This window comes from Homo sapiens, chromosome 2 (genome assembly GCF_000001405.40).
Source record: "Homo sapiens chromosome 2, GRCh38.p14 Primary Assembly".
Lineage (NCBI taxonomy): Eukaryota > Metazoa > Chordata > Mammalia > Primates > Hominidae > Homo > Homo sapiens.
The window spans coordinates 9,687,465-9,709,478 of NC_000002.12; the positions used below are offsets into that span (position 1 = coordinate 9,687,465).

The 22,014-nt window shown below is 48.5% G+C and overlaps 1 long non-coding RNA gene across 5 annotated transcripts in view, besides 2 other annotated features; it reads left to right on the forward strand.

Annotated features, from left to right (window-relative positions):
* LOC105373418 (uncharacterized) overlaps positions 1-22,014 on the forward strand; it is a 74,555-nt gene that overhangs the window by 48,720 nt on the left and 3,821 nt on the right. The window lies entirely within an intron of this gene.
* Positions 4,682-5,481: an enhancer, noted in NCBI's record as "NANOG-H3K4me1 hESC enhancer chr2:9832275-9833074 (GRCh37/hg19 assembly coordinates)". NCBI's record gives its function as "activates a minimal SCP1, AML or CMV promoter by ChIP-STARR-seq in naive H9 embryonic stem cells {active_cell/tissue: H9 hESC(naive)}" and the evidence as "EXISTENCE:reporter gene assay evidence [ECO:0000049][PMID:30033119]".
* Positions 5,635-5,694: an enhancer, noted in NCBI's record as "active region_15289". NCBI's record gives its function as "activates an Ori minimal core promoter by ATAC-STARR-seq in GM12878 lymphoblastoid cells {active_cell/tissue: GM12878}" and the evidence as "EXISTENCE:reporter gene assay evidence [ECO:0000049][PMID:35858748]".

A 22,014-nucleotide genomic window follows, 5' to 3' on the forward strand; every position in this document is an offset into this window, starting at 1 on the left:
TGTGAATAAATCTAAATGAACACAGACTACACTAGGCAATGATCATAATGTCCTGAAGGGCTTAAAAATAGAATTAAAATACATGAAAACAGTTGCAGATAAGTTGAGGGAGGAATAAATGCAGTTAAATGGAGAGGGGAGGGCTAAAATATTGATTAATGTTAGACTTGGTTAAGCTAAGAATGCATGTTGCAATTTCAACAGTAAACTCTGAATAAATGGAAACAGTGTATGTAACTTCCAAATGAATAAAAGGGAAAAGTAGAATGCTAAAAAATAATCAATCTAAGAGAAGGCTAGATATGAGAGAAAAAGAAACATAAAATAGGCAGGACAACTAGAAAGTATAAAGATAGAGAGCCAGGTGGCCAGGTGCGGTGGCATACACCTGTAGTATGTACTACTTAATGGCTGAGGCAGGAGGATCCCTTGAGCCCAAGAGTTCCAGGCTATAGCATGTGCCATGACTGTGCGTGTGAATAGCAACTGCACTCCGGCCTGGGTAATATAGCAACACTCCATTTCTTTAAAAAAAAAAAAAAAAGGCAGATTAAAAAACACTTTTTATTACAGGAAATTAAGTACCACAAAAATAGGCCAGGCATGGTACCTCACACCAGTAATCCGGACATTTTGGAAGATTGAGGTAGGAAGATTGCTGAAGCCCAGGAGTTTGAGACTAGCCTGGGCAACACTGTAAAACCTTGTCTCTGAAAAAAAAAATTAAATTAAATCAAAATTAGCCAGGTATGGTGGTATAGGCCTGTAGTCTAGCTACTTTGGAGCCTGAGGCAGGAGGATTGCTTGATCCCAGCAGCTCGAGGTTGCCGTGAGCTATGACCGTAACACTGCATTTCAGCGTGGGCAACAGATTGAGACCCTGTCTCTAAATAAATAAAAACAAAATATACAGAATAGTATAATGAACCTTATGCATCCATTATTCTAATACTTAACAGTCTAGTTTCATTTATCTTTCACACTTTTTCCTAAAGTATTTTAAAACAAATCTCAGACATCATGTTATTTTATTCATAAACATTGTAGAGTGTATTTTTATTAAAGACTTTAAAATTATAATACTAAAATACCATTATCACAAAAATGGTATATTTAAATAGAAATATATCAGAAATTATGTAAAATGTAAATAGATTAGATAATCTTGTCTTTTTTTGTTTGTTTGGTTTTTTTGAGATAGAGTCTTGCTCTGCCGCTCAGGCTGGGGTGCGATGGCACGATCTCGGCTCACTGCAAGCTCCACCTCCTGGGTTCAAATGATTCTTCTGCCTCAGCCTCCTGAGTAGCTGGGATTACAAGCATGCACAATCAAGCCAGCTAATTTTTGTATTTTTAGTGGAGACGGGGTTTCCATGTTGACCAGGCTGGTCTCAAACTCCCGACCTCAAGGGATCCGCCCACCTTGGCCTCCCAAAGTGCTGGGATTACAGGCACGATCCACTGTGCCCGGCCTAGATAATCTTGTTACAAAAGACAAAAATCGTGAAACTATTTGTTTTTTTTAAACCCACTGTATGCTATTTACATCTTAAATAAAAGGATTCAGGAACGTTGCAAGTACATAATGGAAAAAGATATGTAAATAATAACCAGAATAAAATATGTGCAGATAATGAAAGAAAAAGATGTTTTACATACATGATAGAGAAAAGGTGGGCAAAGTTCTAACGCCAACAGCTTCTACTTCCCAGGAGTTGGATCCACATTCTTTTTTTTTTTTTTTTTCATTTTATTTTTATTTTTAGAGACAGGGTCTACGGCAGGAGGACTGCAGTGGTATGATCATAGCTCACTGCACCCTTGAACTCCTGGGCTCAAGTGATGCTCCTCAGTAGCTAGGACTACAGGCATGAACCACCACGGAGTTTTTTCGATTTTTTGTAGAGGGCGTCTCGTCAAATTGCCCAGGCTAGTCTTGAACTGGCCTCAAGCGATCCTCCCGCCTTGGCCTCTCAAAACACTGGGATTGCAGGCATGAGAGGCTGCATCTAGCGAGCTAGGAGTAAACCTTAGCTCTGCTCACAAATGAAGAACAAGGACTTAGGAAGCTGACTGGCTGGCCAGAGATGCTGCTGATGAGGGACAGAGGCCCCAACACTCAGAGGAGTACCCCTTCCACTTGCCGCGAGGCCTTCCTAGGCCTGAGAAGGGGAAGGTAGGGGGGTTTCTGGGAAGGAGATGGAGGCTCAAACTTTTGTTAACAAGATGGACTTCTTCGTCCCTGTTATAGATAGAGCTTGGGGGTCATTAAGAGCGAGGGCAAGGCTGGGCACGGTGGCTCACACCTGTAATCCCAGCACTTTGGGAGGCCAAGGTGGGTGGATCACTTGAGGTCGGGAGTTCGAGACCAGCCTGACCAACATGGAGAAACCCCCGTCTCTACTAAACATACAAAATTAGCCAGGTGTGGTGGCGCATGCCTGTAATCCCAGCTACTCAGGAGGCTGAGGCAGGAGAATTGCTTGAACCCGGGAGGCTGAGGCAGGAGAATTGCTTGAACCCGGGAGGCTGAGGCTGAGGTTGTGGTGAGCCAAGATCATGCCATTACACTCCAGTCTGGGCAACAAGAGTGAAACTCCGTCTCCAAAAAAACAAAAAACAAAAGCGAGGGCAAGAGTGGGGAAGCACTGGCTCCAGTGTTCCTTCACAAACGACAACTGAGAGGGACAGGAAAAATAAATGCTGTGTGCCCCCTTGGTGTTCACGCTCCTTGAGCTCCTGTTGGTGAGGTCTTTCCTGGTGGAGGGCAGTGGGGAGGCAGTGTGAGAAGGGGGTGCTCAGGCCTTGGCCCCAGGCAGGAAGAGTGCAGCTTAGTCCCTTTGGCTCCTTTGTGGACTCTGTGGCCCTGACACCCCAGGACCCCAGGCAGGTCCTGAGGCAACCTCGGAATATTTTGTTTCAGGTGCTTCCTGCAAATCAGCCTCAATCTGATTTCACTCGCGCGGTCTAACAACAGAAAGGGATTATAGGAAGGAAATGCGGCCCCTGGGGGATTCAGAATCTGTGGCTCATCCAGACCAGTCCAGATCCATCTGAGAGGAAACCAGTGTAGCTTCACAGCGAGTCCTAGCAGATTCCTCCCCAGTTACGCCAGCCTCCTCATGCTGGCCAGAAGGAGCTGGGATGCAGGATCCTGAGTTGAAATTCAGCCTCATGGACACAAACAACATTAGGTTACACACACACCAGCACACACACACCCACGTACACATCCCCACTTGGGCCTAGTCAAATAAATATACAGACCTTTTAGTTTCACTCCCTCCTCAACCAAGACTTGAGTTTTAGCTACACACAGACACACACACACACACACAAAACCACTTGCATACACAGACATACTGTGCTATTCCAATAAGCTTCCCTTCCTGGGTTGGTGGTGGGGACCAGCTAGTGATGGCGGGAGTGGAGGTAGCAGAGCCTGGGGCTCCCCCTAGCCTAGCAGAGTGATGAGAAGCAGGACCCGTCCAGGAAAAGAGCCACCCACCCACTGCAGCCAGCAGCCTCGCTCTTCCCAGTAGGGAGGCACATGGAACCCATCGTGCTTAATTTTCCTAAAAAAGGTTTCTCTTCAGATCATATAAATCTTTTGCCTCTTACTAAAAAGCCAAGTGCAGTGAGATCGCTCTCACATGAAAGCTGTCATGAGTCCAGTTTACTCTGTGCGTCCTTAATGTGACGCCTGAGGGCAGTCGGTGCTGTGGAAAGCACAGGCTTCGGAGCTAAACCCACCAGATTTCTGACCTGGATTTGATGCTCGATTTGGTGCTCTCCACCCTCTGAGCCTCAGTCTCATCACCTGTAAAATGGGGATAGCATAGCAACCTCATTCATAAAGGATGGTTCCTGGAACACAGTAGTTGCTCAATAAATATTGATTTTATGTCTTCCCAAATTTCTGGCCTTCAAATGACATCTGCTTGCCTGGGTCTTTAGAGCCGAGAATGGAGTCCTGAGACCAGCAGAGACCTCACCTTTGACAGTTCAGGAATTGAATCTTGTCACCCATCTCCCTCCCTCCCACCATTGCCTCACCTGGCTTGGCCACCATCTTCACAGTCCCTCTCTCTAGCCCCTCTTCCAGATTAAACTCTGTGGTTCAGTGTGAAAGGGCCAAGGGGCAGGGAGACAGTTTGAGGAGAAAGCCCAGGCCTGGCTGCCACTGGGAGGGACAAATGCAGGCTCCCCACAGCCAGACCTGACCCACGAGGGAGGGTGGGACACAGACTCTGGTGGTGTGCCCCCAGAGGTCACGTGAAGCTCTCAGGAGGCAGTGAACAAACAGTCCCTCCAATTTTTCTTCTTCTTTTTTTTTTTTTTTTTTTTTTTTGAGATGGAGTCTGGCTCTGTTGCCCAGGCTGGAGTGCAGTGGTGTGATCTCAGCTCACTGCAACCTCCGCCTCCTGGGTTCAAGCAATTCTGTCTCAGCCTCCCAAGTAGCTGGGACTACAGGTGCTCACCACTACACCCCGCTAATTTTTGTATTTTTAGTAGAGGTGGGGTTTTACCATGTTGGCCAGACTGGTCTCGAACTCCTGACCTCAGGTGATCTGCCTGCCTTGGCCTCCCAAAGTGCTGGGATTACAGGCATGAGCACTGTGCCTGGCCTCACAGTTTCTTTTGACATCACTGGGACACCTGACTTCGGGATCCAAGTGCAACACAGACGAACACACAGGCACATCGGGAGCACCAGGATGGTCAGGAACTTTGCATGACCAAGGAGACTGCTGGATTAATGAAATTGCACCATCTTTTGAAAGGGCCTCAAGGAGAGTTCAGTCCTGAGTTAGCCTTGGCATTAAAAATAAAACTGTACTTCTGTTCAGACTCATCCATTGCAGTGAGAATGATCTGGGTGGGCTTCGAATATCAAAAGCCTCCAAGGGGAATGGCTTAGAGGGTGAGCAATCTGTGATCTCACGTGACAAGCAGTCCAGAGCCATGGACTCCAGTTCTTTACTTTTTTCTTCTCTGCTGTCCTTAGCCCTCAGGTTGAGGCCCTTCCTGGCAAAGCTGCCCTAGGCCCAGATGTCACATATGCATGACAACGTCCGGGGACCATTTGCCCCAGCAGATTCCCTTTCATTTCTGATTGGCCGGCAAGTGGCTGAGGATCGTCTTACTCGCACCCTGGTGCTGGGCGCTGACCACCTCCCGAAGCACTTGGCCAGGGGGAGAGGATGCTGGACACAATCAGGTTCTCCTGGGGGGAGGAGGGAGGGAATGGCTGCTGGAAGGGTTCTACCGGGGACTCCTACAGCAGCTTGTTAGATCTCCTTCCTCCCAATTCCCTGAAGTTGGTGGAACAGGAAGAGGACGAGAAGTCATGTTTGTATGTTGTCCCCTTGGAATCTCTCAAAAATCCGCAATATCCCGATTTGAGAAATGAGCATCACAGAGAAAGCAAAGCGGTAGTTGGAAGCTGCCAAGCTTGTGAGCAACGAGACGGAATCCACGCCCAGGGCTTTCTAACGGCGGGGCCACGCCCTCCACACTCCACCTCGGCCCTCTGCCCTGCGATGGTGCAGAGACAGGGTGTGGTCAAGGGGCCTAGGGTGAGGGTCCTGCCAGTACTTTACAGGAAACTCCCCCTCTTTTAGCCTCATTTGTCAAAGAAAGGGCTTAGACACTAAAATCTTTTAAGTTTCCTTCTAGCTCAATCTCTCTTTGATTTAATACCTTCTAAAAGAGATTTGGGGCCCCAGAAAAAAAGAAAGCAAGAAAGCAACTGGCACTTCTGTGGTTGACTCAGCACAGAGGCCTGGACAGGCATCAGGAGGCTGGGCTCCTCCTATTTTGGGCCTCGTGAGTTCATCCTGAGGCCTGTGCCAGTCCCTGCGGTTTCTCATCTCTCCATCCTGGTCTGTATGACAAAATGGCTAAAAATACCGGGCTCCCCGCGGGCCCGCCACCCGGCTAACACCCTCCCTTGAATCAGCTCATTTTTTAGTCTTGGGTATGCTGCAGATGAGAGTCCAGGACAAGCCACCTTCGGAAGCTCTGACTCCCAGGAACCCCGCTTGGGTTGGTCCTTGTGCTCTGGTGGAAGAAGCTTGGGCGCTGTCCACTTCCTAGGCAGGTAACTTGGCATGTCTGAGCCTCAGTTTCCAGGTCTCCTCATCCCACAAATACACCTACAGATTGTGTGAGTGACAAGCCTAATCCTGCTGAGGGCTTGATCCGCGTAGATTCATGCTTACCCTGGACCCCTCGTCAGCTGGGTCCCTGCAGGAGAATTTTCTCCCAAGGAAAACCTGGGCCTGTCATCACTCAGGCCTGCACATTGACCCAGTTTCTCGCAGGCTTTCCTAAATTGCTTTCTGAAACAGTCACGAAGGTGAATCGTTGTGTGCAGCCACTGCAGGGACAAAGGCTGGCACGCTGGTCATCCCATTTCAGGTCCGTGTGTCCCATTTCACTGCACTGTCCTGTGCCAGCGCTGCCCAAGTCTTCGAGTGCTCCGTGGCCTCCCACCCCTGCCTCTCCGTGGGCGGCTTCTGTGAGGCCTCCGAGAAGCAGGAATGAAAGGTGACGTGAAAGGAAGCCGGGCTTGCTGTGGTCAGGTGAGGGCCAGCACAGTGAGTTTGAGAACATCTCACCTCCACAAGCAGGAGCCCTACAACCTTGGGACATTGTTTCATCTTCTGGACTCTCAATATTGGCTTTGAAAAAAATAAAAACACCCCTTTATCTTGTCTGAAGAAAGGAATATGAAAAAAAAATCCATCTCCTTTACATGGAAGATGTGAGGACCAGAGGAAAAAGACACACATACCAATTTTATTTTATTATTTTTTCTTTTGAGACGGAGTCTTACTCTGTTGCGCAGGCTGGAGTGCAATGGCACTATCTCAGCTCACTGCAACCTCCGCCTCCCTGGTTCAAGCGATTCTCCTGCCTCAGCCTCTTGAATAGCTGGGACTACAGGTGCCTGGCACCACGCTCAGTTAATTTTGTTGGTAATTTGAGTAGAGACGGGGTTTCACCATGTTGGCCAGGCTGGTCTTGAACTCCTGACCTCAGGTGATCCACCTGCCTTAGCCTCCCAAAGTGCTGGGATTACAGGTGTGAGCCACCGTGCCCGGCCACACATACCAAATTTGAGAGCTCAGTGTTTTGTCCATGACATGCATTTGCCAATGTTCAGAGCACCCAGTGGGTGCCAAGCCGGTGCTCGGGGCTGGGGTGGGCAGGGTGGGGGGAATTGCACTTCGCCGGACTGCGTGGTGCCCCCTTCCCCGGGAAGAGAGACTGGAACCATGCAGTTTCCATCACTGGGACAGAACCTACACGTCCTGTGCTGAGTGGCCTCGTATGCTTAGCTTGGTCAGGGGCTGGCGCTGCGGGGCCAGGCTCAGGGGCTTCATTCTCACTGGTCGTGGGCCTCCGCGCTGTTGGCTGCCACTAGAAAGCTTGTATGCCAGAGACTCCGGCTCTGAAGTTGGACTCCAGTCAATCTGCCCGTGCCCCTCGGGTTCCCCAAGAGCTTTCCATGTAGGAATGCAACTGTTCTCACGGAGCAAAGACAGAAGTGAGGGCCACCACCCTCTTTTCTCCTTTTCCTTTGTGTTTTATGCACATATATTAAAGAGAATAGCTCTAGAAGGTGTCTTGTAGAAACACAACAGCAGTTCCTGCCCCTGCTCCCTATTTCCCTCCTTGAAGTAGCCTCTTTCACTTTGCTTACTGATTTTTTTGTTGTTTGGTTTTTTTTAAGACAGGGTCTCGCTTTGAACACAGCTCACTGCAGCCTCGACCTTCCAGACTCAAGCGACCCTCCTGCCTCAGTCCCCCAAGTAGCCGGGACCACTGGCATGCGCGACCACTCCCAGCGAATTTATTTTTGTATTTTTAGTAGAGATGGTCGTCTTGCCATGTTGCCCAGGCTGGTCTTGAACTCCTGAGCTCAAGAGATCCGTCCACCTCGGCCTCCCAAAGTGTTTTTAGCTGATTATCGGGATGCCTGTCTATCTCTAGAAGACAGGCTTGCATAATTACTTTTTTTTTTTTTTTTTTAGACGGAGTCTCGCTCTTGTCACCCAGGCTGGAGTTTAATGGCGCGATCTTGGCTCACTGCAACCTCTGCCTCCTGGATTCAAACGATTCTCCTGCCTCAACGTTCAAGTAGCTGGGATTACAGGCGCCCACCACCACGCCTGGCTAATTTTTTTTGTATTTTTAGTAGAGATGGGGTTTCACCATGTTGGCCAGGCTGGTCTCAAACTCCTGACCTCAGGTGACCCACCCACCTCCACCTCCCAAAGTGTTGGGATATGAGCCACCCGCCCGGCTGCATAATCACTTTTTAATTTTTCAGTGTGGACCCCATCACTGACTTCTCATTCTGGAAGGTGGAAATTAAGCTCATTTTCCACCCTCTGCTACCCCTACACATGTGAATCCTTCAGTCAGGCCGAACCCCTGTTGTCTCTAAGGGATGGTACCACACCGTGTCCAGGAGGCCAAAGAAGAGACCCGGATCCAGTGAACGAAACGTAGGGTTTATTGAGGGCTTACCTACAGGACAGTTCAGGAGTGGCAGCTGGACAGGAGAACTGCTACTGTTTGTAAAAAGCGTGCAGTTTATGTAGCATTTTCACTTAGCAACCTCCACCTAGCAACCTTCATTTAACCCAAAACAAAGGGCTTCTCGATTCCTTGTACAACCTGTGTTCAAAGGAACGGACCAGGGGTTCAGATGCCATTTATAGATAAGGAGGGAATTTTCAGGTTGGCCACTCCAAGATTCCTTAGCTCAGAATGCAGAACACACACAGGGTCACTCTCAGGGTGTGCTTGAGTTATTGCTGTCAGGTGCATCTGCTATACACCTTCCTACACTCTTTCATCCCTATGGAATTATGATATAATTTTGGTTAGATTCATAGCCACCATATGTCATTAAGCCATGGAAATACTTTAGATCAGTTAAAAAATATAGTAAATATCATGACTAGTTTTCCTTCTCTACTCAAATTTTTGTTATCCTTGAAGTTAATAATTGTCTTTTTATGGTTTAATTTTCTGTGTGCTTATCACCAATTCAACTCCAAACTTTTCACCAGTTGTCTCAAGGTCCTCTCGAGACATTCCAATGTACCAGGCACTGCTAGGTTCATCTTCCTGAAATGGTCAGTCTCTCCAGGCACTTTCCTACCTGCGCCCTGTGTCCAGAGCGCACCTGTCATCCCAGCATCTGCCTGTGCCTCATCTAGGGACCACCCTCAGCTGCCTTTCCATGCGGGGGTGCTTGTTTTCTGTGCCCAGTGACTCTTTCTTGGGTTACCCCTCCTTTTAAAGGGGGGCATTCTCTAGAGGTTTCCCGAGAACGGAGTCATTGCAGGTAAGCCTTTTGGGTCCTTGTGTGTCTGAACGTGTCCTGTTCTAACCTCTCCCTGATGAATAGGTTAGCTATTTGTAGCATTCTAGATCATAAACCAGTATCCCTTGAATTCCAAAGTCATTGCTCTCCTATCTTTTAGTTTCCAGGGTTGCTATAGGATATCAAGCCCATTCTGGGCTGGGTGTGGTAGCCTGTAATCCCAGTAGTTTGGGAGGTCAGGGCTGGTGGATCACTTGAGGTGAGGAGTTCAAGACCAGTCTGGGCAACATGGCGATACCCCATCTCTACTAAAAATACAAAAATTAGCTGGGCGTGGTGATGCACACCTATAATCCCAGCTACTCTGGGAAGCTGAGGCATGAGAATCACTTGAACCCGGGAGGTGGAGGTTGCAGGGAGCTGAGATCGCACCTCTGTACTCCAGCCTGGATGACAGAGCGAGACTCTGTTTCAAAAAACAGGAAAAGAAAAAGAAATGAAGCCCATTCTACTTCCTAGCTTTTGGAAAGTGACCTGTTCCCGTCTCTGGAAGCTTGCAGGATCTTCTGTTTGTCCACAGTATTCTGAAATGTCCCAGAGATGAGGTCTGGTGTGTGTCTGAATGCCTAATGAGGAAAGGTGCACTCCGTGGCTCAGTTCTCTAGAGAAGACATTTCCAGTCTCTTCACCGAGGCAAAGACCCAGCTTCAGACCTCAGGTCTGCTATGGGGGCAGTGGTCTGAGCATTCAGCATTCATGTATTCGCTTAAACCTGCCATCTGTGGTGAGAGTGTATGTCCTCAACTGTGCCTGCATCCCCCAATCCCAAGAACCACTTTTACTCTTCTCCTGAGAAGAGACCTCCAATCTTCTCCTGGGGAGGGAAAGGGCAGGTGCTCATGAGTGAAGAGGGGACCTTGGGACTCAACTACTTTTCTGGATCCTTTGAGTCAATCCTCCTTATTTTAGTAACCCGTTTACTTGAGTGCCAGAGGTTCTTGATACTGTTGATTTCTTGAGAATTCCAAGGTGTGCATCTAGTTGGTTCTCAATTTTCTCTAGTGTGGGTTGGAGATTTTGCTTTCTGGGGCCTGCTAAGTCTGTTACCATTCTTCCATCTGCTTGCAAACATCGTGGTCTGCTCTCCTGTTATTTGTGTGTGTGCACGTATGTGTGTGCATGTGTGTGGTTGGATGTATGTCTGTGCATATGTGTGTGTGTGTGTGAATCTGTTTACTATCATTCTGGTGGACTTTTGGGAGGGAGTGAAATGAGATGTTCTGTCTGCCACCTTCCCCAGCAGCCTGGTTTCAATATTATGAACAAAGTCCAAAGGCCTCAGAGCACAGAGTTCACGCCACGAACCACCCAGTGGTTTTTCCATCACAGAGAGATGGTGAGCGCCTTTTCAGGCTGGGGGAAAGAGTTTAGAGAGAGTCTGAAAAGGAAGTAAGTGGGTTGCTATTGTGAGTCCCTGAGAGAAGGGTCAGAAGGCTGGCGAGGGTGAGGGTGGGAGCAGCACAGACCCCAGGTAGGTTGAGCAGGTGCTCTGCACGCTGTCTGGGACTCTGGGAGGAGAGGGCTGTGCAGGGCCTCTGTGCTGTCATGGAGCAGGATGGCAGGGAGACAGGGTGGCATGGTAGGAACAGCAAGATAAGGGCCTGAGAGATCCCTGCTTGCCGAGCGTTCCACAGCTGAGTGTTCCAGAAGACCGAGGGAGGGGACACCAAGAGGAGAAACTAGAAAACCAAGCAGAGTGAGCCCCACCTTAGGCTGAGGCCAGTGAGGGCAGAGGCCAGTGCCGGCATCAACAGGTGGGGACATACACTCTCCAGGGCACCAGATGACCCTCAGGAGAAGAGAAAGGGGACCCAGAGTCATGAAGCCATAAAGTTGTCAGAGCTGGGGGACCTGTAAGAAACATCCAGTATCCCAATTTTTATTTATTTATTTATTTATTTATTTATTTATTTATTGGGATGGAATTTCACTCTTGTTGCCCAGGCTGGAGTGCAGTGGCACAATCTTGGCTCATCGCAACCTCTGCCTCCCAGGTTCAAGCGATTCTACTGTCTCAGCCTCCCAAGTAGCTGGTATCACCCGCCACCACGCCTAGCTAATTTCTGTATTTTTAGTAGAGAAGGGGTTTCACCATGTTGGCCAGGCCGGTCTCGAACTCCTGACCTCAGGTGATCCACCCACCTTGGCCTCCCAAAGTGCTGGGATTACAACAGGCATGAGCCACTGCGCCCGGCCCCAGTGTCCCCATTTTAAAGAGGGGATTCGGGGGTTCAGAGAGGGAAAGAGACTTGTCCCAGGCTGCTTAGTCAGTGCAAGACACTGTTCTTTTTGCGATGTCCCTGAAGAGGGTTGATAGAGTAATGGTTTACTCATCCAGGAGTCCTATCCTTGGACTGACCCGGTTCTGTCTGTCCTGCTCTGTTTGTCTAGATCTTCATCAAAGTTATTTAGCTAAAGCTTATTTTCACCAGTTGCCCCAAGCATACGTCAGTATGGTCACGTGACTATACAAGGAGCTATTCTATATGGACCATAGGGGAGGGGCAGGCGTTCACCAACTGGAGGAGAAAGGACATCTGCAGCAGAAGGTGTTCAAAGGTGTGCACAGAAGTGAGGAGATAACGAACAGTATGTTTGGGGAACATAACTACCTTGGAGCCAGGATCTCACATTGTTCAGCATCCCGAGTGACACACTGAGTGGCCCGGGGCAGAACCGTGTGTTCTCGAGCTGTATGCATCATCATGGGCCCACCTGGGGGGACTTCTGATCTACACTTCTGCAGAGAACGTTCCCTACAGCCACGGACCAAGGCATCTGAAGAAGGCACATGCCTATCTGTGACTGGTTCCACAGTGACTCATCAGGTCTTAAGTTTTTTTAAAAAAGGCTGACTGAGGAGGTTTCCAGACCTGCACTTTTCCAGATGGTTCTGTGGGCTTTGGCCTGAGGTTGGGCTGAACCCTGCTGGAACACGGGCGATTGGAAAGGTTCACCGAAGAGTGAGAACAACTCCAAACCTTCTTCTACCCACCCCTCCAACATGAAAAAGTAAAAAGACTAGGAGAGGAAATGGAAACTCTAGCACTTCTCTTTTGGTGAAACCTTATGAAAATAAGTCAATTTCTTGCCTTTGTGCTTCCTTTGGAAAGACTTTTTAGCCTTTGGAGTCTGATGAAGCTAGGTATGAGTTTGGCCCCACTGCTGTCTGGCTAAGAGATCTTGGACAACTTACTTAACTTTTCTGAGCCTCAATTGTTGGGAGAATTGAGACAATGTAGGTGAAGTGCCTTCTGGGTCTATACTTGAGGTAGGATAGGGTTTAATATCAGTGTTCCTCTTCGTATTCCACTAAGGTAGCTTTTTAGCTTTCTTTGACAAGTCAGTTCTCTAGTTCTCCGTTTTCTCACTTGTAATTAGGACATCGGATTGGACATTCTCTAAGTTCCTCTCAGCGCCAGTATGCTATGACATTTTTTCTAAAATAAGGTTTGTGGACTACTTAGAACAGAATAACTTTAAGTGTGTTTTAAAAACACAGATTCCTGGGTTCCTCTCCAGACCTGCTGAAACTTGCACTTCCCTTGTGCTTCCTCATGCTTGGCAATCTCTGTTCTGTTTTACATCTTATCTACCTTGCCCATCTTTATAACTCAATCTAAAATCTCAATGCTGGGCTAATGGTAGGGCCTCAATATGTCCTTGATTACTACAACTCGCTGCCTAGACTGGGAACTACCTTTGCTGCCATCTTGGTTTCTTCGAGGGTCAGTCCTCTTGTCTTCAATATGTGTAGTGATTCCCCCAAAATAGAAGACAGCTCAGGTCAGAGAAAAAGCCTGGGCATCTATGAGGATGAGTGGGAAATAGGGAGTCTGGAAAAGGAGAGTTTTGGATCATGGACCCTCAGAGGCTCCTTCCCAGTCTGGAATCCTGAGACTCTAGTTTCCACTGAGGGAACTGATTCCACTGTGCTAGTTCACATCACCTCCTCTGTTTGTCAACTCCCAGCTTCCATTTCCAGTTTATTCCTTTCTCTTCATTACTACCTATGTGACAGACTGGTGCTGTGAGATTAGTGTGTTTCATGCGCATCCATTCTTTGTTACATCTTGAGATCTACTCTTATTTGTGCTCGCATAACCCTAGTCTATCCCCCGAACTACTGTCTGGAATCCCTCTGCAGGACCATTTCACAATTTATTTATGCCTTCTCCTATTGATGGTTATGTACATGGTTTCCAGTTCTTCCCTATTACAGACAACACTGTGATCACCCCCTCATACCTGTTGCCTTGTGTACTCAGGTACAAGCATTTATCTAAACACCTAGAAGGAGCCTTGCTGGGTTACACTTGCAGTTTCCCTAGATACTGCTGAATTGCCCTCCAAAATGATGGTGTCAATTTACACTCCCATCCATTGTATATGGGAAGACCCATTTCCCTCAACCTTTCCAACACTTGATGTTGTTAGACTTTGTTTTGCTAATCTGATGGGTGACCGTGGTATCTTGTTGTAATTTGCCTGTTTCTGATTCCTAATTCTGTTGAGTAAACCCATTTGGGTTTCTTCTACTGTAAATTACCTAGTCATATATTTTGCCCATTTGTCTGTTCCTTGTTATTTTATGGGAGTTCTTTAAACATCCTTGATACCAATCCTTTGTCTATCATGTTTTGCATATATTTTCCTCCAATCAATACTTATGTTTTAATTTTGTCTATGGTGTCTTTTATCGGTGACTTTTGAACAGGGGAGTTACACAGGGTTGAATTTTGAAAGACCTCTCTCTTAAACCAGAAGTGTATTGATAGAGCATATATAGATCCACAGAGCAATAAAACAGAGAAAAGACCTGTGCATATATGGGAACTGAGTTTACGATAGAATGGCATCATACATCAGAGAGGAAAGGACATACTATTTGATAAATGGTATTGAAGCAATTAGCTATTTATATGAAGTTTTAAATTCTGATGTGGTCAAATTTGATAATTTTTTTAGCCTATAATTTTTGCTTCTGGTGTCTGATTTAAGTATATTTTGTCTATGCCAATGTCATAAATATTGTCTTCAATGGATGTAGTGATTCCCCCAAAATAGAAGACAGCTCAGGTCAGAGAAAAAGCCTTGTAGTGAAACTACAAGTCTATGCTTGATTTAAATTTTCTTCTAATTATTTTACAGTATTTTTGTCACATTTAGGTCTTGAATTTATTTTTGGATATGGTGTGAGGGAGGGATATAATTATACATTATTTCATATAGATAACTAATTGCTTCAATACCATTTATTGAATAGTATGTCCTTTCCTCTCTGATGTATGACGCCATTCTGTCATAAATCCAGTTCCTATATATGCATGCGTATTTTCCTGAACTCGATTCTGTTTTACTGCTCTGTAGGTCTATATATGCACGATCAATACACTTCTGGTTTAAGAGAGTGGTCTTTCTAAATTCAATCCTGTGTAACTCCTCTGTTAAAAAGTTATCAAAGTGTTCAGTCAAATGGTCCTTTATCATCTAATCCCTGCCTATTTTTGGCCATCTTCTCTCTCCTGTCTTTCCCCAAGTCCCTGTGGCACTATCAAAATCATTTACCCTAGGCTTTATCTCAGTTGATCTACTTGCTGTCCTTCCAACCCATGCTGAGGTTTTGCCTTCCTGCCTTTGTACACATTGTTCTCTCTGCCTGGAATGCCTTTCCTACTCATTTCTTGTCTGATGAAGTTTAACCGAAATGCTTTTTCAACACCTTTCCCAACCCCCCAGTTGGGGTTCTCCTAGGTGCTCCCCAGCACTTTGCTCATCTCTACCATGGCTCTCCAGATGTTCTACTCACCTAATTTAGGACTCTAGTCAGGCTCCTCCACCCGATAGGCTAGGAGAGCTTCCCAAGGGCAGGAGTGCATCTAATACATTTCCATGTCTGCCTTCCCCTAGTCACCCACCCCAGTTGACCTAACTTGTGTCTGGCATGGAGCCAGGCAATAATAGCTGCATCCACTGAATACTGACTATCTGCCATCTACTCTCCTATTTCATACTTATGGCAACCTTTGAATGTGGTAGAATAATTCCCATTCTTCAGATGAGAACATTGAGGCTCAGAGCGGCGATGTAGCCTGCAAGGGCACATAACTGGAAGCATCACAGCTGAGATCCAGACCCCAGTCTTTCTGACTTTAGAGCCCATGCTCTCCCACTACAGTCTACACTGGGGCTCAGTAAACATTTACTGAGTGAAAGAATAAATACGTGCAGAACCCAGCCAACAGAGAGCATCCCCGGAGGTGGGGCCAGGGCCCCAGGCACTCAGAGGAGGCAGGCCTCTGGCAGTAGCTAAGCAGATTCCCGTCTCAGATGTCAGCCCTGCCCACCCTTCTGTGCCCCCCCACCCCCCTGGTTGGTGTTTGTGGGACAGTTTCCACTGTGTTGCCTGGGAAACGAGGCATCCTGCCACCACCACTCCCCACCTCCGGGCTGCCAACACCTACCACGCCCGGCTTGGGGGTTTTGGCTGGTTTCCCTTGTGTCCTAGTCAGCTTGAGAAACCCTCGGATGCACTCGCCACTTTTACAGTGTGGCTTTGCTCATCTGGGTGGGAGGTACTGCCTGGGGTGAGCTCATCACCTCTGGTTCCTCAGTGCCACCCACTGATGTCTCTTGGCACTGAGTTCTTACAACTTGTTCCAGGGGATATTTGGTGGTTGATGGTCACCACCCATGTGTCATGGTCCCTGAGCATCCCCCGCCACCCCACTGCTCCCTATTTTGGCAGTTACTGTCACCCTCTAGGGATGCAGGGATGCAGTTTACCTATCTAGAGTGCGGTGATCAGGTGGGGAAGTACAAATGGCAATTGACAGCTAGAGAGCTTGAAACCCTCCCACTTGGCTCTGCTCACCCTGGACTCTGGGAGACCTCAGCTGCCCAGCAGTGGAGGCTGGGGCAGCAGAGGGGCCAGACCTGGGAGCCCAGAAGCCTGGATCTGAGTCTGACTCACTGCTAGCCTTTGACCTTTGGAGGCTTGGGCAAGCTGAGGAACTTCTCTGGTCTTAATCTCCACCCCCTGCTGGAGTAGGTGAGGTCAATGAGTGAGCGCATGTAACTTCCTCTTGGTAAGCCCTGGGTTCCTGGAGACAGGAGAGGGAGGGTGGTTTTCCAGGGGCATTTGTTGACATTTCTAGAGAATATCTGAGGCTTCGACAAAATCAGACCTCAGAAATGTGGGCCTGCCTTGCTGTTGTGGGGGATGGTGGCTGGAAAGTGGGGAGGGAGATGAGACCCCAGCTTTCTCTGGCTGTGGCCTGGGCAAGGCCCCCTACTCCCTGCCCGTGCTCCCTGTCTGTCCAGTAGCAGGCTCATGTGTGACTCTCTAGGGTACATGGCTATGTATATTCCTAAATCAAATTAAATCCCATTCCCGGCTGGGTGCAGGGGTTCACGCCTGTAATCCCAGCACTTTGGGAGGCCAAGGCAGGTGGATCACGAGGTCAGGAGATCGAGACTGTCCTGGCTAACACTGTGAAACCCTGTCTCTACTAAAAATACAAAAAAAAGCCAGGCGTAGTGGTGGGCGCCTGGAGTCCCAGCTACTCAGGAGGCTGAGGCAGGAGAATGGCGTGAACCCGGGAGGCGGAGCTTGCAGTGAGCCGAGATCACACCAATGCACTCCAGCCTGGGCAACAGAGCGAGACTCCGTCTCAAAAACCAAAAAAAAAAAAAAAAAAAATCAAATTCCTGCCCCCTACATCCTGCCATTTGGGGGACTTGTAGTATCAGTTATTCCTTGGTTCTTCCCTTCCCTATACCCCCTGTAATGTGCAAAATCCAAGCTGGTTCCTGCTAAGACACCCACTGCCCCAGCTCCAACCTCAGGCCCTGAGGAGAACTTGCTGCTTCTGAGCCTGTAGCCTGGGGCCTGGGGGTGATTGATGACCAGAGACCCTGGACCCTGAGCCCAGCCTCCCCTCCTCAGCATCATTGTCATCAGGCAGGTTGAGGACCTGCCAGTCATATGGCCTGATTGGCTCTTCACCTGCTCCCTAGGCGCCTGAAGCCCCCTCCCCTCCGCTCCAGAAGACATAGCACATGGGCTCCCCAGCTCATTCAGGCTGTTAAGGAAACAAAGGTCAGGGAGGAGCGAGGCTGTAATGCAACCTTCTGTGGCATAGGACAGAGCCTGGCTCTTCTGATGGGGGCAGCAGGTAGGGATAAAGCAAGGGAGAAAACCGCTTTTTCCACGTCCTTACATCTAGAGCCTCTTTCCATGAGGACACCCCATAGCCATGGGATGCAGAGAGCAACAGTTTACTTCCTCCACTTTTTAGCCGAATGAGTTCACCAGCCTCAGCTTCACCAGATGTCAAACGGGGATGATGGTCAGGCCAACAGGCTAACTCGGTGGGGTGCTGATATGGTTTAGCTGTGTCCCCACCCAAATCTCATCTGGAATTGTAGCTCACATAATTCCCATATGTCGTGGGAAATACCCAATGGAAAGTGATTGAATCAGGGGGGCGAGTCTTTCCTGTGCTGTTCTCGTGATAGTGAATAGATCTCACAAGATCTGGTGGTTTTATAAAGAGCAGTTCCTCTGCACATGCGTCTTGCCTGCCGCAATGTAAAGCATGCCTTTGCTTCTCCTTTGCCTTCTGCCATGAGTGTGAGGCCTCCCCAGCCATGTGGAACTGTGAGTCCATTAAATCTCTTTCCTTAATAAATTACCCAGTCTCGGGTATGTCTTTATTAGCAGTGTGAGAACAGACTAATACAGGTGCTATTTGGCATTTTGAGTGGGATAATTTTAAAATTGTGCATCTTACCCATTTCGAAATATTTAGCATGGGTACTAAATATCAGTAACACCCCCGGTCACTATGACACCAAAACTAAAAAATTAAATGCCCTCACATAGCTCCAAATGCCTCCTAAGGTAAGGGCAGTACTATCCCCAGGTAAGAATCGCTTTAAAAAAAATTTATATTGGCCGGGTGCGGTGGCTCACGCCTGTAATCCCAGCAATTCGGGAGGCCGAGGTGGGCAGATCACAAGGTCTAGAGATCGAGACCTCGTCTCTACTAAAAATACAAAAATTAGCTGGGTGTGGTGGTGGGCACCTGTAATCCCAGTTACTCAGGAGGCTGAGGCAGGAGAATCACTTGAACCTGGGAGGTGGAGTTTGCAGTGAGCCAAGATTGCACCACTGCACTCCAGCCTGGCCGACAGAGTGAGACTCTGTCTCAGAAAAATAAATAAAACAAAATAAAATAAAGTAAGAAGGCGGTTTCTTAAAGCAAATGTACAATTCAAATGAATTGATTGAGCACCTGTGCCAGGCCCTGGGCTTTGCCCTGGGGAATCAAAATGAATAAAACATAGGCCCTGCCCTCAAGGGGTCCCCAGCAAGAGACATGTCCCTAACAAACATCAGGGCCTGTGATGGGTCTAAGGGACACGTAGGAAAGGGTGAGATTGTGCAGGAAGGGAGGAGGAATCCAAGCTGGGTGGTCAGAGGCCCACAGGCAGTTCAAGGGGATTTACACGCAAGGACACAGAGGGTGTGTTCTAGAGGCGAGGTTCTGCAGGAGGGTGAAGGGCAAGGAGGATTTGGGTCTGGAGGGCCAGTGGGGGCCAGAGCCCCGACGGCTTGAGGTCAGCAAAGGCTTGACTGTGAGGTCCTAGGGAGCCATGCAGAGTGTAAGCCAAGCTGGTGGGTGAGCTTTGCATTTCAGGACTGTTGCACTGGAGCAGTGTGAGGCTAACTGAGGGGGCTGGGCAAAGGCTGGTCATTCGTCTTCTGCCCCCACTACACCTTGAAGCCCCAAAAGGTAAGACAGTGCCTTTCTTGTTTCCTCAACATGGAAAGGTCATGTTGGTCATGACCTTCCAAGGTTGTGACCAATCACTCAGTAGGTGATGGATCAGTGCTTCCTGTCCTGAATGCATGCATGATGGAGGAATGACTTTTACATTTAGGCCAACATTTTCCAAAATGTATTCCCAAACCAAAAGAAGAATAGCTGATCAATTTCCCAAAGGAGGATAAACATACCAGGCATTCACTCACTGCCATCTGGGCCAGGCCTCACAAGCATGATCTCTTCCAGTTTAATGCATACAGCAGCCCACCTAGCCCCACTAGACAACTGCAAAAACTGAGGCTCTGAGAATTTAATGTCTCGCCAGAGACATTAAAGGTCATGGTAAAGACAAAATTCAAAAGCAGATGCTGTTATATCAAGTCAAATGCTTTTTCTAACACAGTGTACACACGCACAGAAATAAGCTAATGATCAGTCAGGGAAAACATTCTGCACCTTGTGTGTGTGTGTGTGCGTGTGTATTTGCAGTCGCCTCTCAGGTTTTCCATGGAACTGTTGTGTAAATGGAGGTGGCTGGCTCAGGAGCAGCCCTGCAGGATTCACAGGGGTGAAGTGTCAGCACGGGCAAAACCAAACACATCCAGAGAAATCCGAACCAGCTCTGTTTGCAAAGAACAGAGGCTGCTCAGCTGAGGCAAGAACACCACTGTTGTCTGCACTGGCTTTCATCTGGAATGTCTTTAAATAAAATGATTTGCACTCGGCCAGGCACAGTGGCTCATGCCTGTAATCCCAGCACTTTCGGAGGCCGAGGCGGGTGGATCTCCTGAGGTCAGGAGTTCAAGACCAGCCTGACCAACAAGGTGAAACCCCCGTCTCTACTAAAATACAAAATTAGCCAGGTGTGGTGGCAGGCGCCTGTAGTCCCAGTTACTTGGGAGGCTGAGACAGGAGAATTGCTTGAACCCGGGAGGCGGAGGTTGCAGTGAGCTGAGATCACACCACTGCACTCCAGCCTGGGCAACGGAGCAAGATTCTGTCTCAAAAAAAAAAAAAGATTTGTACTCTAAACACGAGCATTTCCAATTAATCTCCTTTTTAAGCAGAAGATGTTATCTCCAGGGGGCAATAAATCAAAGTCCAAATGAAAGGGGTCACTCTGGCCACCCGGAGGGCTGTCATGATGGGGTGTCATGATGGGGAGGCTGCAGGCTCAGGACGTGGCAGTGCCCCCACCCCCGTCAGTGCTGCCTTCTGTGGCAGGAACGAGCCTTTGTCTGCAGGCCTGGGGAGCTCGAAGACAGATGTGTAACCCTGTTGGCTGTACCTTCAGCATGTGTCTAGGATTCAACCTCATCTCCACCTCCATGCTGCTCCCTCTAGCTTCCTCCCTGGGATCACCACCTCCTAACTCTGCCCTCCCCTCTGCCTTCCAGACTATTCCCATCATAGACACAGTGACCCTTTTAAAGCTCAGACTCTGCAATAACGGCTGCCCATCTCACTCACAGAGAAGGAACAGGACCAGGAGGGCCTAGTGATGGAAGGACCAACACATGGTTGGATGACAGACCCTGAAGGGCCCTTGTGGAGGGGCTCCATGGGAGTTGGCTGTGAAACCACCCAGGCTGAGGCTCCCCTGTGGGCTTGAGTCATGCCCGGCCAAAGCTTGCAAAGTGGAGGCTGTGTCGCATTTTCTGTTTTCCCCATGCCTGACATCCAGTGGGCACTAATAAATGTTTAACGAGTAAATTAGTGCGTACAAGAGACAAAAGTCTTGCTCTATGGTTGCAGTATTTGATGTTTTTTCCTTAGGCAAAAAGGACATTAAAAACCATTTGAGACGGAGTCTTGCTCTGTCACCCAGGCTGGAGTGCAGTGGTGCAATCTCGGCTCACTGCAACATCTGCTTCCTGGGTTCAAGTGATTCTGCTGCCTCAGCCTCCCGAGTAGCTGGGACTACAGGCATGCGCTACCATGCCCAGCTAATTTTTGTGTTTTTAGTCGAGACAGGGTTTCACCATGTTGGCCAGGCTGGTCTCGAACTCCTGGCCTCAAGTGATTCGCCTGCCTTGGCCTCCCAAAGTTCTGGGATTACAGGAGTGAGCCACAGCGCCTGGCCCACGCTTCTTTTAATGCCCCTTATTAGTCAGCAGTTTTGGAAAGAGAAACCACTTCCCACAAACCTGTGACCCTCCCACAGGGCCTGAGGCAGGAGGCAGCCCCTGGGAGGCTGGGATGCTGCTGGGACGCACGGAGCCACGGTGCCTGGTGCCTGCTGAAGCTGAGAGACCCTGTGTGGCTCCTCCTGCCCCCTCCCCTGGCCTTGAGTTTTCCATTTCCAGTTCTGTTTTATACATCTTGCTGCCTGGGCCCTTTCTGGCAAGTCATTTCAGAAAGAGGGAGGGGACTTGTTTTTGAGAGTTACCGATACTCCCAGAGGGCCGAGGGAAGAGACTGAGGCAAGTTGAGTGCCATGGGACCGTTTCTAATGCACAGCTCTGCTCACACCTGTCCACTGCCTGAGAGCCTTCAATATACAATAATGACAATGACATCACCATTGACAACAATAATAACAGCAGTCAATGTTTGAGAGCTTCATGTGTGCTTGGCATAGAAATAAACTCACAGATATGATCTCAAACGCCCACACTGTGAGTTAGAAATTACTACCCCCACTTTATAGTTGAGGAAATAGGAGGCTTAAAAATGAAGCAGCTTGGCCCAGGTTACTCAGTGCAGGGGCCGTGAGCGAGGCCTCTCAGAACTCTGACTGTGGGAGCGACAGTGACCAGCAGCCCTGCTGCTGCC